The 15610-nt window shown below is 53.2% G+C and overlaps 1 protein-coding gene across 18 annotated transcripts in view, besides 4 other annotated features; it reads left to right on the forward strand.

Moving 5' to 3' along the window:
- ARHGEF10L (Rho guanine nucleotide exchange factor 10 like) overlaps window positions 1–15610 on the forward strand; it is a 184441-nt gene that overhangs the window by 40089 nt on the left and 128742 nt on the right. The gene's annotated exons all lie outside the window — the stretch shown is intronic.
- Window positions 491–785: a silencer, noted in NCBI's record as "tiled region #1053; K562 Repressive non-DNase unmatched - State 23:Low". NCBI's record gives its function as "represses a minimal TATA promoter and a strong SV40 promoter by Sharpr-MPRA in K562 cells {active_cell/tissue: K562}" and the evidence as "EXISTENCE:reporter gene assay evidence [ECO:0000049][PMID:27701403]".
- Window positions 11449–12070: an enhancer, noted in NCBI's record as "OCT4-H3K27ac-H3K4me1 hESC enhancer chr1:17891467-17892088 (GRCh37/hg19 assembly coordinates)". NCBI's record gives its function as "activates a minimal SCP1, AML or CMV promoter by ChIP-STARR-seq in primed H9 embryonic stem cells {active_cell/tissue: H9 hESC(primed)}" and the evidence as "EXISTENCE:reporter gene assay evidence [ECO:0000049][PMID:30033119]".
- Window positions 12071–12690: an enhancer, noted in NCBI's record as "OCT4-H3K27ac-H3K4me1 hESC enhancer chr1:17892089-17892708 (GRCh37/hg19 assembly coordinates)". NCBI's record gives its function as "activates a minimal SCP1, AML or CMV promoter by ChIP-STARR-seq in naive H9 embryonic stem cells {active_cell/tissue: H9 hESC(naive)}" and the evidence as "EXISTENCE:reporter gene assay evidence [ECO:0000049][PMID:30033119]".
- Window positions 14933–15449: an enhancer, noted in NCBI's record as "H3K27ac-H3K4me1 hESC enhancer chr1:17894951-17895467 (GRCh37/hg19 assembly coordinates)". NCBI's record gives its function as "activates a minimal SCP1, AML or CMV promoter by ChIP-STARR-seq in primed H9 embryonic stem cells {active_cell/tissue: H9 hESC(primed)}" and the evidence as "EXISTENCE:reporter gene assay evidence [ECO:0000049][PMID:30033119]".

The following is a 15610-nucleotide window of genomic DNA, read 5'->3' on the forward strand; positions in this document are numbered from 1 at the left end:
GTAATCCCAGCACTTTGGGAGGCTGAGGTGGGAGTGTCGCTTGAGCCCTGGAGTTCAAGACCAGCCTGGGCAACATAGTGAGACCCCATCTTTAAAAAAAAGCCAAAAAACAAAAATTAGCCAGGCATGATGGTGGGCACCTGTAGTCCCAGCTACTCAGGAGGCTGAGGCGGAAAGATGGCTTGAGCCCAGGAGGTTGAGGCTGCAGTGAGCTATGATGGCACCACTGCACTCCAGCCTGGGCAGCAGAGTGAGACCCTGTCTCTAAAAAATAAAAAATATATAGCTTAATAGCAGCGTATGATGACGACTATCACTTGAGTACCACTGGGTGCCAGGCACTGTGCTGGCTGCATCATGAATTATTTTTTTGCCTACTCAACAGGGAGGCGAGTATGATTAGCTCCATGTTAAATGTGAGAACTGAGACACAAAACGTTTAGCTAACTTTCCCAAGGGTCAAGTGATTGCATGACCTGTATATGAAAGCTGGACTTCAAAGACCAGAGGAAGTGCAGAGGATACGTTTGCTAGGTGCTTCCTTGTGGGGGTGGGTACGGCCTCTCTACCTCACGTCCCATCACTTGGAGCTCTCTGCAAAACCCGTTCTCCCGGGCCCTAGATGCAAAAATCCACCCAGTTCATCCGCCCTTGAGAAATGATGTTGAGTCAGATCTGGAAACACTAAATGGGTGAGTCACAGTGAGGATGGTGAGGGGCTGGGCAGGGAGGAACAGTGCTTAGCCCACCATTGGCCAGAGCTCAGCCTTGCCAAGGAGCCCAGCCCAGGGGGCAGGCCTCAGCTATTTACAGAGAAGGGGACTTGGGAGCAGAGAGAGGATGCGGCTGGCAGGGAGGGAGACAGAGGAGCTGAGGGTCAGACAGCAGAGCTAGAAGAGTTTTCAGGGATCATCTAGTCCACACATAGGACATCTCAGTCCCAGAGAGGGGCTGGGACTTACCCTAGGTCACACAGCCCATGATGCCAGACCCAGCAATAGAAGGGGATTTTGGGAGGCTGAATCCTCAGCCTCCCTCCCTCCCTCCTTTCCTTCCTTCCTTTTTTTTTTTTTTTTTTTTTTGACAGGGTCTTGCTCTGTCGCCCAGGCTGGAACACAGTGGCATGATTACAGCTCACTGCAGCCTTGATTTCCTGGGCTCAGGTGATCCTTCAACCCACCTCAGCGTACCGAGTAACTGGAGCTACAGGCACATGCCAACATGCTAAGCTAGTTTTTGCATTTTTTTGTAGAGATGGGGTTTTGCCACGTTGCCCAGGCTGGTCTCAAACTCCTGCGTTCAAGCGGTCTTTCTGCCTTGGCCTCCCAAAGTGCCTGGATTAGAGGCATGAGCCACTGTGCCCGACCCTGGCCACTTTCATGGGCATGACTTTCTGACCAGGCACTATGCTGTTTGCCTTCTCTTTCTCCAATCAGGAGAACAAGAACAAACAGCAACAATAATAAAGGAATCATCTTGCTAAATCCTAAGCATGTGTGTTGCCAATATGGGTAGACTGTACCCAAGTCCCACCTCCTCCTCTTCCTAGGTGGATGACTCTGGGCAAGGCACGTTACTCCTCTTAGCCTCCAAGTTCCTTTAGCTGCGTCATGGTTTAAGCAGATTCTGAAATTGCAGCACTTCTCAGTGCCTTTAACATGTGGAGTATTGTTATTCTCCAGCAGGGAGACTTCTGCTGTGGTTTTCCATTGTTCTTTGAGTATTGAATGCTTTTTTTTTTCTCCCAATGAGCACCTATTGACATATTTCAGGGCACAGATGTTTCCCCAAATATACAGATTGACAACACTGGTGTCAGTGGTTTGTCAGGACTGTTTAAACTACTTTTTTTTTTTTTTGAGATAGTCTTGCTCTGTCTCCTAGGTTGGAGTGTAATGGCATGATCTCAGCTCATTGCAACCTCTGCCTCCTGGATTAAATGCTTTCTTAGCCTCTCAAGCAGCTGGGATTACAGGTGCACACCACCATGCCCAGATAACTTTGTATTTTTAGTAGAGACGGGGTTTCTCCATGTTGGTCAGGCTGGTCTTGAACTCCTGACCTCAGGTGATCCACCCACCTTGGCCTCCCAAAGTGCTGGGATTACAGGTGTGAACCACCACGCCTGGCCTGTTTAAGCTTTTAAACTCAGACACTGTGGACTGATTATGGAGTTTTGGGGGACACATCTACTGAGCTGTGACAGTCAACCCCCCTCTGGGGTCAGGAGCACCATAACCATGCCCCACCTGCATCTGTTCTTGCTTCTTTCTGTCGTGTCCCTTCTACCCTGGAGCACCCATTGCTTTACAGCGGGAGCCTTCCTGGGAGGAAGGTCAGGCTCCTGTAATTGGAACCACCCTGCCTTTGTGGGGCAGGAAGACTGGCTGAGATGTCTTGGGCAGCAGCAGCTGCCCTACAAAGGCTCTTCCCAGGGACGCTGGCTCACCTGGGAGCATATTTGGAGGCAAAGAGGATGGCGAGGGAGAAGCAGAGACTCCCAATTAGGTTAGGGCAGCCTGGGAGCACGGGGTTGAGCCTGGGAGCACGGGGGTGGGCCTGGGAACACAGGGATGAGCCTGGGAGCATGGGGGGGGCCTGGAAACACAGGGGGGCCTGGGAGCATATGGGGGGCCTGGGAGCATTGGGGGAGGCTGGGAGCCCGGAGAGGGGCCTGGGAGCACAGGGGGAGGCTGGGAGCACGGAGGTGAGCCTGGGAGCATAGAGGTGGGCCTGGGAGCATGGCGGCGGGGGGGGGGCCTGGGAGCACAGGGCGGGCCTGGGAGCACGGGGGTGGGCCTGGGAGCATGGGGGTAAGCTTGGCTCTGTCATTCACCCTTTTATGACCTTGGGCAAGGCACAGTCCTCTCTGGGCCTCAGTTTCCTCATCTGTGAAATGAAGGCCTGGGCTTAGTGATTTGTTGATTGCCTTCAGGGCTGACGTTCTGTGAACTGAGTAATGGAGGAATAGGTACATTTCGTACCTTTTGGCCACACCCTGGTTTGCTGGGTTTCTTGGGGTCCACCAAGGCTTGCCCCATCAGGAACTTTTCTCTCTCAGAAGGCGCAGTGTGTGCGAAGGTGCTGGAGACTGGCAGGTGGCCTAAGCACCCTGGGAACTGAGAGCTAGTAATTCTCATATGTTAATGTGAGCCAGGGTCACCCAGACAAGCCTGCTAAGAAGGCAGATTCTTGGGCCTCATCCCAAGAGACTCTAGTATTATAGGTTGGTATCAGGAGCTTAGCATCTGCATTTAAAAGAAGCCTCCCGTTCACTCAGGTGACTCTGAAGTCAGTAGTTCAAGGACCACTTTTTGAAAAAGGCCGTTAGACTCTTTGAGCCTTAGGAAAGGCTGGGCACAGCGGCACTTGCCTATAGTCCCAGCTAATCAGGAGGCTAACGCAGGAGGATCACTTGAGTCCAGGAGTAAGAGGTGCAATATGCTGTGATTGTGCTTGTGAATAGCTACTGCCCTCCAGTTCGGACAACATAGCAAGACTCCATCTCTTAAAAAAAAAAAAAAAAAAAGAAAATGTGGCCAAGTGCAGTGGCTCAGGCCTATAATCCCAGCACTTTGGGACACTGAGGTGGATGGATCACTTGAGATCAGGAGTTTGAGACCAGCCTGGGCAACATGGTGAAACCTTGTCTCTACTAAAAATACGAAAATTAGCTGGGTGTGGTGGCATGCACCTGTAATCCCAGCTACTCAGGAGGCTGAGGCAGGAGAATTGCTTGAACCCAGGAGGGGGAGGTTGCAGTGAGGCAAGATTGTGCCATTGCACTCCAGCCTGGGTGACACAGCCAGACTCCATCTCAAAAAAAAAAAAACAAAAAAAACCAAAAAAAACAAAAAGAAAATGCGTAGGAACATGCTAACCTTTTGGGGTTGGTGACGGGCTCTGTGTTGGATGCCCTCACCTGCAGTATCAGCCTTCAAGAGCTAGTGACTCCTCTTCCCACACACTGGTGTGTCCCAAACCTGGCTGATTGTCAGAATTGCCAGGAAGCTTTTGAACAAAATAGGAATTCCTGAGCCTCATCCTTAGAGATTCTGAAGCAGCAGATCTCGGCTGGGACCGCGGAATCCCCATGTTTGAAAAGCTTCTCAGGTCTTTTGTTAATTTATCATTCGTTCGACAAGTATGTCTCGAGGCCTGTGATGGAATGGCCTAGGCCCAGGGGAAGATGGCCTAGGTCCGGGGAAGGACTCATGTAATTGTAAGGCCAGACACAGTCTCGGACATTATGTCACCTGCTCTATGGCTTGGTAAAGGAGACAGACGGTGATTACATAGGGATGATTGGCCAGGCTGGGGAAACACGTAGCAAGGAAATGGTTGGGTCAGACTAAATACTTGGGGTAAAGCTAGGATTCCTGGGTTGCTGAGCTCCAGTAAATTCCACACTGAAATAGAGCCCTGGGCACAGTGTCCTCTGACCACTACTTACATTCTCCTGTCATCCATCGACTCTTCCTCCCCACCATCCACCCACTCGCCCATTCATTCATCTCTCCATTCATTTACCCACCCACCCGTGCATCCATCTGTCCATCTGTCCATCTGTCTACCCGTTTGTCCATTGTCCATCCATCCATCCATTCACTCATCCATTCATCCATTTATCCATCCATCCATCTATGCATCCATCCATCCATCCACCCATCCATCCATCCATCCATCCATCCGCCTGCCCATCCATTCATCCATTTATCTACCCATCCACCTACTCATTCATTCATCTATCCATCCACCCACCCGCCCATTTATTCACCCACTCATCCACCCATCATCTCTTGAATCTCTTCGGCATGCTAAGGACTGCCCTGGGTATTGGAGAGACAGAAATGAAAGGCATTATTCTTGCCTTCAAGGAACTCACAGTCTAGTGGGCTGTCAGAAAACTAAGCAAATGATTCCAGTCCAGAGTGTTAGGTGCCCAGAGGGACAAGTGGCCAGCTGTCTGTCCCAGTGGTCATCATGGGAGACTGCTCTGATGCCAGCTGCATGTGCTAAGCAAAGTGTATTTGGGAGTGGCCCAGGCAGATGAGGTGGGGAATGGCTTTCAGGCCCTGGAAGGGTCTTGCCTTTGGGAAGGCAGGTCATCGTGGCTGGGGCAGGTGGGGACCTTTTCCTCTTTTGACACTCAGGTTCTCTTTGGTTTTGCAAGTGGTCCCACGAGGTCTGGGCCTCAGTAGATGCTTAGCCAACATGAGTTGTCAGTGAATGGGGAGATGAGTCAGAAAGGATGCCCTGTGAACCTCACTGAGGAGCTGTGGCTCTGTGGGGCCACAGATAGGGTCCAGGCAGGGGACAACACTGTGCCACAGGCTCCCTGGGCTGGGCAGGGAGAATGGTGGGGAGGGCTGAGGGGCCCTTCCCCAGCTTCCTCGGCTTTCAGCTCTTTTCTTGTGTAGATTGGAGCCTTTGCATTCATGAAAGCTGATGACTCCTTTCCACCAGTGAATTTCCTGCAACCCACAGGGCCCGGCCTCAGTTGGGGTGTGGGGGGAGCAGAATGATGTGGGGAGAGTGGTGGATGCTGTGGCAGCTAAGAGCCTTGGCCTCCGGAATCAGACTGCCTGATGTGGGAGTCTTACTTCTGCCATTTGTCAGCTGTGTGTCCTGGGGCAAGTGTCTCAACCTTTCTGTTTCAGTTCAGTTATTCAGTTGGGGATAATATCAGTCCCTATCTCATATGGCTGTTGGGACGATTAGGAGTTATTTCTGGTAAAGCACTTAGTGCAATCCTGGTACATGGTAAGTATCGACACAAGGCAGCTTCGGTGTGGAGCTTTGGAGGCAGCCCTGTCACAGGGGCGGGACACTAGAAGGGGCTGGGTATTTATTAGCCTTGGAGCCAGAAGACCTGCTTGGAATCCCACCCCTACCTCTGACTGATTGTAGAGACCTTGGCAGGCTGATTCAATGCTCTGAGCTCAGATTTGTCATCTGTGAATAGGGGACCGACACCCCCCAGGGCCGCTGGGAGGAGTCACTGGGTCTGATGGCTCATTCTCTGCATTGGGCTTATGATTGAGGTAGGAAAACTCTAAACAGGAGGAGTGAAATCTTCATTTGCTAGGGTGGCCTGGATGGCCATGCCTGGGGGTCAGTCTGTGGGGTCTGTAGGGCCACCTCTCTTGGCCCTGGCCTTTTCCCTTAGTTGCCCTCACTGTTGCAGGTTCCTAAGGAAAGGGACCGTCATGTGACTGGGGCCCAGGGTCTTCAGAACAAGGTGCTACAGGGGCAGAGGGTCAGGCTGGTGCCATTTCATTTGCAGGAGTGCTGGGGAGGGTGACTGTCCTCCTCCAGCCACACTGGGTCTGGGTGCCTGGGAGAGACTGAGGTTTCTGGTGCCTGCCCTGGGTTCAGCACTCCTGTCCCTCCACACCTCATGTTCCTGCTTGATTTGAATTCTCAGGGTTGGGTGACTCAGGCATGCCTGATGCCCTGCAAGATTTGGTTCACAAGCAGGTAAATATTAACCCACACGCATAGCTCCAAATGCAAACCTGTTTGGGCTGGCTTCTTGGGGGACAGCTAGGCTCCGAGTGTCCCCCTCTTCCCCCAGCTGATGGCCAAGGTAAGCAGGTGCCCTCCAGGGGAACGAGGTCACCTGCTTTGTGCCAGGTGATTGTACTGAATTCGCACCACTGTCCGGGGGCAGGGGCTGCTGTATCTATTTTACAGCAGAGGAGGAAACCAAGACATCAGGAGGAGGCCAGCTCGGTTTACACAGTTAATGAGAAATGGGCCTATGGCTAGAACCCAGGAGTGCCTCCCTGCAAAGTCCACACTTTCCCCACCTGGATCTCCAGCTGTCTCCTTGCTGTTAGGGTCACAAGGCAATGCTATGTGTATCAGAGGCACCTGAGGTTTGCTTTCTGGCTCCACTTTGCCTGGGCCTCAAATGCCCCTTTTGTGAAGTGGGGCCAGGCTGGTTTGGGGTCCCTGATAGGCAGGAACCAGCCCAGGACACTTGAGTGCAGTAATGGGGCCTGGGCTTGGATTTGGGAGTAACCACCTGGCCAGCCAAACAACGATCTTTTTTTTGAGACGGAGTTTCACTCTTGTTGCCCAGGCTGGAGTACAATGGCGCAATCTCGGCTCACCACAACCTCTGCCTTCTGGGTTCAATAGATTTTCCTGCTTCAGCCTCCTGAATAGCTGGGATTACAGGCATGCACCACCACACCCAGCTAATTTTGTATTTTTAGTAGAGGTGGGGTTTCTCCATGTTGGTCAGGCTGGTCTCGAACTCCTGATCTCAGGTGATCTGCCCACCTTGGCCTCCCAAAGTGCTGGGATTACAGGTGTGAGCCACTGCGCCTGGCCCTCAAGCATCTCTTGAAGACCTGCCAGGAGGCACTGTGGGGACACCCAGGGAGGAGCCACAGTTTCTGTCCTCTGGGAGCTGACACGTGAGCAAGAGTGAGAACACAGGTTTAGGGGCTCCAGGACTGGGTTTGAATCTTGGGTCTTAGTAGCTGTGTGGTCTTGGGCAGGTGCCTTTGCCTTGCTCAGCCTTTGGGGCTCCCTCCAAAGATGGGAATAACAAGCCTTACTTCAGAGTGCATTGTGAGGCTAAAGTGAGATGGTGTCTGCAAAGCTCCCAGCACGTAGTAGGTGCTCAGTAAGGTGGTTTCCCCTGCCCAGAACCTCAGATGACTGTCTTCTAAGTCTGAGAGCAACCAGTGGGCCTCAAAGGCGATTGAGGGCTGCTTCCCCTGCCCTGCACCTCCCCCCCGCCCCGTCATGCTGGCAGCCCGGGAGCAGTCTCTCACGGTTCTGTGGGCAGCTGGAGATGGGGCAGAAGCGGGCGTCAGCTCCACAGTGGGGGCACTGGGAGGTGGGGCCAGGCTTGACTGGGAGGAGAGGGAGATGCTGGCTTTTCCTTGGTCCTGCCCCCCGCAGCCTTGCAGTCAGAGGCAGCCCCAATGAGCCCTCTGCAGTTCTGAGTGCCTTCCTCTCCTGTCTCGCAGAGGGGGAGCCTCACAAACCCTGACAGCAGAAGTGACTTGCCCAGCGTCGATGGGCGCTGGTGGCAGAGCCAGGCTGACCCCCAGCCTGAGGCCCACCCGATCCCGATGCTGCACTCCTAGCTCCTTGGCGTAGGTCCCTGGGGCTGTCGGGTGCCCTGGCCTCCCTGGCCTGCCCTGGAGCCAGCTATGAAGGAATATTCTGGGGCACATGACTCACAAGGCTGGCCCTTCCACTTTTTGTTTTCCTTTCTTTTACTTTTCCCTAATACGGTCTCCTGTGGCCCTTGCTTCTCCTTTCTTGGGGCTCTGAGATGGCAGTGCCTTTTGCCCTGGAAAGCCTGTCCTGGCAGAGCTCCTGTTAGCTGTCGACCACAGCTGCTCAATCGGGAAGGTTCCAAGGGAGGCCGAGCAAAGGCATCAGAGCTGCACAGACCTGGGCCATAGCTTGGCTGACCTACTCCCTAGCTATGTGACCTTGGACAAGTCGCTTTGCCTCTCTCAGCCTCAGTTTTCAGATTCAGTTCAATCCAACCAACATTTATTGAAGACTTGTTAGTGCCCAGTATGATATTAGCCATTGCAGGTGGAGCAGCTCCCCTGGGAACCTCAAGATTGAGTCGGGGTTGGGTGTAGTGGCTCACACCTGTAATCCCAGCACTTTGGGAGGCTGAAGTGGGTGCATCACTTGATCCTAGGACTTGGAGACCAGCCTGGGCAGCATGATGAGACCCCGTCTCTACGAAAAAATACAAAAAATTGGCTGGGCGTGGTGGCGTACACCTGTAGTCCTAGCTACTCAGGAGGCTGAAGTGGGAGGATCATTTGAGCCTGGGTAGTAGAGGCTGCAGTGAACCATAATAGTGCCACTGCACTCCAGCCTGTGCAACAGAGTGAGACCTTGTCTCAAACAAACAAACAAAAAGAGTGGGGAGTCAAGTGGGGCCCTGGATATCCACCTCATAGCGTTGTGAGGATCACGTGAAATAACACATAAAGCACTGCATATGGTTCCTGGTTTTAGTAGAGTCTCAGAAATGACAGTGAGCATTCATTTATTCCTGGCTAGTGAGAGCAGTGCTGAGATTTCAGGTGAATCATTGTCACTTTGATTTCATACTTGTTAGCAGGAAAGTGCGGAGGCTGCTTCTGCTGGTACTGTGTTGATTTTTTGTATACATTGGCGAGGTGAGCTAGTCCCTGGTTGTGAGCTGAGGCTGCCATGTTCCCATGTGTGCCCAGACCTTTGAAGGAGGAAGCGCAGCCCATGTGGTGCCCTGTCCTAGGGCAGTCCACTCCTGGCCCATGCTGGGCACCCAAGAGGTGTTTGTTGAACTAATAGGAGAGGCAGTGGCAAGCTGGGGCACATCCTAGCAGTGTGATTGACGTGGGAGCCGGGGGTCTGGGAGCCACAGCAGGCGGCCATGGGACCATCTGACCAGGGCAAGAGGGGCCCTGGGATAGGAGCGGAAGTTGAGGACTGGCCTGTGCAGGAGGAGAGGCCTCATTCTGAGAAACTCGAGGATGAGGGGAGGGCTGGATGCGGGGAGGAGGCAGATTTAGACTCTTCTCCTGGGGGACGATGAATCTTCTGCCAAAGGAAGAATTTCAATATGGGGGTATGATGTGGGTCAGTGATTCGGGCTTAGAGTGGGGGGCATTTATGGAATACCCACACTGGGCCAGGCACAGGGCTAGGATCAGTAAGCTTTGTCAGAGAGCCCTTTTCTTTTTTTTTTTTTTTGAGACAGGGTCTCGTTCCATTGCCCAGGGTGGAGCGCAGTGGCGCCATCTTGGCTCACTGCACCCTCGACCTCCCAGGCTCAAGTGATCCTCCCACTTTAGCCTCCTGAGTAGCTGGGACTACAGGCGTGTACCACCATGCCTGGCTAATTTTTGTATTTTTTGTAGACATGGGGTTTCCCCATGTTGCCCGGGATGGTCTTGAACTCCTGAGCTCAAGGAATCTGCCTGTCTCGGCCTCCCAAAGTGCTGGAGTTACAGGCATGAGCCACTGTGCCCAGGCCCTTTTTCTTTTCTGTTTGTTCACTGATGTGTCCCAAGTACTCAGAACAGGACTTGGCTCATGGAGGTGCTTAATAAATGTGGGTTGAATGAATGAATGGTTGGATGAATGAATGAATATTACCTAATTGGGTCTCAGGAGTGTCATGACACCCAGTTTGCAGATGAATAAACTGAGGCTTAGGGAGGTTAAGTTGCACATTTGCTAGGTTGTGGAGCTGGGATTTGGAGTCCCCACTGTCTGACTCCAGAGCCGGTGCACAGACCCACCCATCTATTAGGATCCTCAAGGAGGAATTCTTTCTGTGGCTGACAGGTTGGATTTCAACCTCTCAAAGACCCCTCCGTCGTCTGAGAGCGTCTGATTGTGGGAAGAAACAAAATGACCCAGACAACAGCTGGGTCAGTGCTGCAAGTGACAGCAGATGGCTCCTGCCACTAACTCCTGTTCTGATCAGTGGGTGCCCTTTCAAGGAGCCAGGTTGGGAGAGAGATGGATGCTGCCAGCCCCAAGGAGGCCCTTCCAGGCTTGGTCTGACATCATCGTTATCCTCAGCCACAGAGCGGGAGGGTGCTGGCTCTGGCACAGCTGGCACATAGTGCTTGCTCTGGCCTGCACAGTGGGGCCCGTGTCTCAGGTCACCCCTGCCTGGGTGCATCTCCAGGGTGGTGGCTAGATGGCCTGGGTGAATCCCAGGTGTTCACGGGGACATGTGCCTGCCCTCAGCCCCCAGGTGGTTCTGGACCAGAATGCCCAGGAGCTTAGGGCTGGGACCCAGAGAGACTTGGAGGGGGGCTGCTTTGAGAGGCTCTGTTAGGGGCAGTGCCGCTGCAACACTTCAGGGGGGCCACTGGTCTTGGGCACTTGATCTGAGTCCCCCAAGTTCTCCTCCTGATGTGCTGTCCCACTGGGGCCCTGTCCTACTTGCTCCCATGGGTGGAGGCTTCATGGTCCCACCTGAGTGTACCCCAGCAGCACAGGAGCCCAGCTGACTGGTGGCTGGCTCGTGGCTGAGGTTTTAACCTGTAAATACTGTAGGGGCTCAAGACACAGGCTCTGCAGCCACGTGGCCTGGGTTCAAAGGCCAGCGCTCTCATTTATTGACTATGTGACCTCGAGCAATTTTCTGAACCTCTCTATGCCTCTATTTCCTAACCTGTAAAAGGGAATGAGAGTGGCCCCTGTCTCAGAGGGTTTTTAGGAGGAAATTATAGGAGCTGTAGGAGTAAAGGGCTTGGATTAGCACTGGGCCCTTAGCACGCAGTTAACACGTGTTCGGTGTCTGATGTTGATTTTGGCACTGACATTGGGCAACCCAAGGAGCCACTGCATTTCTGCTGTGCCCTGTGGCTGGCACCTGGATTCCACTTCCTCAGTAATGCTTGTCATGAATGGGCCAGGTCAGCAGGGACAAGAAGAGCAAAGGCAGCACCCGGGCACTTCACTCCCACCCAAGGCCCCATTCGGGCAGCTGTAACGAAATGCCGTGACTCTTACCAGCAACAGGCAGTTATTTCTCAAAGTTCTGAAGGCTGGAAGCCCATGATCAAGGCAACAGCAGATTCGGTGTCTGGTGAGGGCCTGTTCCTTATAGATGGTACCTTCTCACTGTGTCCCTGCGTGGTGGGAGGGCCTAGCCGGGGCCTTGTTTACAAGGATACTAATCCCATTCACGAGGGCTCTACCCTCATGACCTGATTACCTCCCCAAAGCCCCACTGCCTAATCCATCACCTTGGGGGTGAGGTTTCCGCATAGGAATTTTAGGGGGATAAAAACATGCAAATACTGTGGGGCTCAAGGCACAGGCCCTGGAAGCCCTCATTTCTACCTTCTTCCCTTCTCCCTCCTGCTTAACATTTGCTCCTTGCTGCTGCATCCCAGGCATTGCAGACGAACTATCCATGCTTTTGGTCACCCTTTCAAGGAGCACTAACTGGTGGACGGCCCCCCTCCAACTCCTCATTGCCTGAATCTAGGCTCAAGTCTGCTCTCAGGAGTTTCTGCAGCCCCCAGGTCTCCCGAAGGGAAGCCCAGCTGCTATTGTCAACACTGTTCAGTTCTCCTTCCCCTTCTGGACCGCCAGTGGCTGTGTCTTTCTCACCACAGCAGGGGATACTTGATGAATATGCATAGAGGGTTGAGCCATGCGCTAGGCTCCGGGACACAGGGCAGGAGGGTGCAGCTCCTGGCCTCGGAGAGCTCGGCAGTCTGGTTGTTTATTTACTAACTCGGGTACCAGGACCGTGGCTGGGCACTGAGGACATGGAGAGGCAAAAGATGCAGTCCCACCTTAAAGAGGCGGCTGTACATATTCCCCCTCCCTCCCTGGCTGCCTCCTCTCCCCACCTCCTGTATTGCGGATGCTGGGCCAGGTGGTGCAGATACAGACACAAGTAGGTCGTGGTCTCTGCCCCCACAGTCTAGCGGGGAGAGGCACAAAAACAAGTACTGTAGCAGAATGCAGTTTCTTTAGATACTTGTAGCCTGGTGTTTGTCTGCCATGGAAACCAGTGGCAATGGCTTTGGTCTTTGTATTCCTGTGACTAGTAATGGTGACACAACCCTGCATTAACAGGCCAGCGTCTGCTATAGATCCCCAGAGGACTTCACCAATGCCCTCTGATCCGGGTTTCCCAACCTCGATCCATTGACATTTGGGCTGGATCATTCTTTGTGTTGGGGCTGTCCTGTGCCCTAAAGGATGTTTAGCGGCTTCCCTGGCTTCCACCCACCAGATGCCAGTAGTGTCCCCCCTCCCCACCTAGTGTGGCAACCAAAGTGTCTACTGCCATTGCCAAATGTCCCTTGGGGGACACAACAGCCCCTGGTTGAGAACCATGGCCTCCCATAGATCTGTAAAGCTGTAACTATAAATCAAGGTGGGATGGAAATTTTGAAATCCAATACTGTCTCCCTCCCCAACATCCCATGTACCTTGGGAGCATCAGTGATCTGGTTTGGCATAAAACACAAACATCTTCTGGGATGTGGAGGGGCCCTTGGAGGCTGTGCACCTTGCCCAGGCCACAGAGAAGCAGGGCCCCTGGCGGAATGAACTGGATCATTGCCAGGTGTTCATGTGCCCTGTTCTGTGTGGATGCAGTGTTGGGCCGGTCATCACATGGCCACATGGAGTATGCAGGGCCAGTATCAGACCTGGGAGAGTTGAGTCCAGATGTTCAACTGTCCTCTTGAATCTCAGTTCAGCCCCGGTATTCTCCTTCACCTCACAGCACCTATGACCAGGGGACCAAGTGCTCATCAGCAAACCCCATAACCTCGAGTGCTTCCTGGGGCACAATAAAGATTTGCTGAATGAGCAAGGGGGGGTTGTTGGATGGCAGAGGGATGCCAAGGGATGCAGACTGGCTTTTCTGTCACCCTCTCGAATGCCGTTGAACTTAAAAGTCCCCAGAGTGAGGGAGCGGGGTCTGGAGACCTTGGCTCTGACAAAGCACGTGTGGAAGATGTGACTGCCATCACTCTCTTCCTGCTTTGCACCCTGATCTGGAAGCAGATGGTGTCCCCGTGTCCCTGTCCTCTGACAAAGAACTGGGCCACAGGACGACCTTGGATAGACCTGGCAAAGGCTCAGTGTTGGCAGGCAGTGTCCAGGTGGCCATCCGTGCATCCGCCCCTCCAGCTAGCATTTTTGGGCACCTGTTATGCTTGCTGGCAGTCTGCAAGAAGCGAGCCCTTGATCCCACCTTCCCAGGCCACTGGCCTCTTTCTGCTGGTTACTTGGGATGCTCCTGTGTCAAGTGACATTGGGGACATGCTGGTGGATCATTGAAGGTTTGCTGCCTGGAGGGGTTTGCTGTCCCTAAATTGAGCAGAATTTTTTTTTTGAGATGTAGTCTCACTCTGTCGCCCAGGCTGGAGTACAATGGCGCGATCTCGGCTCACTGTAATCTTCGCCTCCCAGGTTCAAGCGATGCTCCTGCTTCAGCCTCTTGAGTAGCTGGGATTACAGGCATGTGCCACCATGCCCAGCTCCTTTTTTGTATTTTTAGTAGAGACAGGGTTTTACCATGTTGGTCAGACTGGTCTCAAACTCCTGACCTCAAGTGATCCACCTGTCTTGGCCTCCCAAAGTGCTGGGATTACAGGCGTGAACCACTGTGACCAGCCTAGCAGAATATTTTTTGAGATCCAGTCAGGAAGTGGAACCTGAGTTCCCGGGGCTGATTCTCCAGCCGGCGTGCTTTGCTTGAAGGGTCCATGTCTGCAGATGGCTCCAAGCTGGCCCTGTGCTGACTATGCGGATGCAGGGAATTGGAATGTCTCTTTGGCACCATGCACAGAGCTTGGTCATTGCTGCATTTCGCACCAACTAAGGCAACTCTGGCCTTGCTGTCTCATTTTTGGATCCTCCCCCTTCCTGTCCTTGACCCTCTTCCCTGGAATCTTGACTTTAAAAGAGGAAGGGGCTGGGTGCAGGCTTTTGGGTGCTCAGCACTGGGCCAAGCTGATGGCTTCCTGTAGCACTTCAGTGAGGGCAGGTACTGCATGGTCAGATGCTGCTAGAGGGGCTGCCTCCTAAGCCTTGCCTTCACCATCCAGGCAGGCAGTGCCTTCCTGGAGGGCAGTGACGGGGAGCTCTGGGACCCTTCAGCTCTAGCCTGGGACACCACCCCTTCTTGTAGGCCGGTGCTGCTGTTCATTTAGCAGGAGGCAGTCATTTATTCATTCAACAAACATTTATTGAGCACTTACTGTGTTCCAGGCTCTCAGTGAAGCACTTTCTGAGAATTATTATCTCATTTAATCATTAGAACAGCCCTGTGCATGGTGATTCTTATAGTTGTCATTGTATGGAAGAGGAAACCAGGGATCGGAGCAGTGGATGGCATCTGTGTCACAGCTGGCCTCAGCTGGGATCGAGCACAGAGCTCAGTCTCCTAAAAATCCCTACCCAGGGCATGATGGTGACATGGCAAAAAGGGGAACCTGGGGGGCACACTGGCAGGACCAGAGATTGCTTCAGAGCAGAAATGACCTGGAGTAGAGTGGTCCCATTTTTCACTGGGCAAGCAGTGGTGTCTCTGCCTGCAGGATGTCGGGGGGTGCTTGAAGCTCATTACACCCAGTGTGGCTTCCATGCCAAGGCAGAAGGAATACTAGGGGGAGTTTAGGACCAGGCTGTGGGCGGCATCCGCATTGTCTGGTTCCTCGTAAGTCGCACCACAGGGTTGGTCAGCAGCAGTTCAGCTCTTGTTAAAGCTGATAGGGAAAGAGGACGGGTGTTTGGGAACAGTTCTCTTGGGGGATCCTGGTCCCGGATTTGACTTCAACTCAGGACAACAGGACTCAGGGCAAATCCTTTTAATGATTGAAGCCATCCCTCCCTGCTCTCCCTCCCCCAACACCTCCAGCCCAGTCTTCCCTGTCCCCTTCCCACAGCCCCAGTCCGCATCTTCTCAGATTGTGAAGTTAATTGCAAGGGAGTGGGATGGACCCATTGGCCTGATCCTGATGGATCTTTCCAGTCACAGCTGAAAGACCTTGGGTCTAATCATGGATCCACCTTTGATCAGATTCTTGGCTTTGAACAAATCTCTCTCCCTCTCTGAGCCTCAGTTTCCTCCTCTGTAAAA

The sequence above is a fragment of the Homo sapiens genome, chromosome 1 (assembly GCF_000001405.40).
Source record: "Homo sapiens chromosome 1, GRCh38.p14 Primary Assembly".
In the NCBI taxonomy this organism is placed as follows: Eukaryota; Metazoa; Chordata; class Mammalia; order Primates; family Hominidae; genus Homo; species Homo sapiens.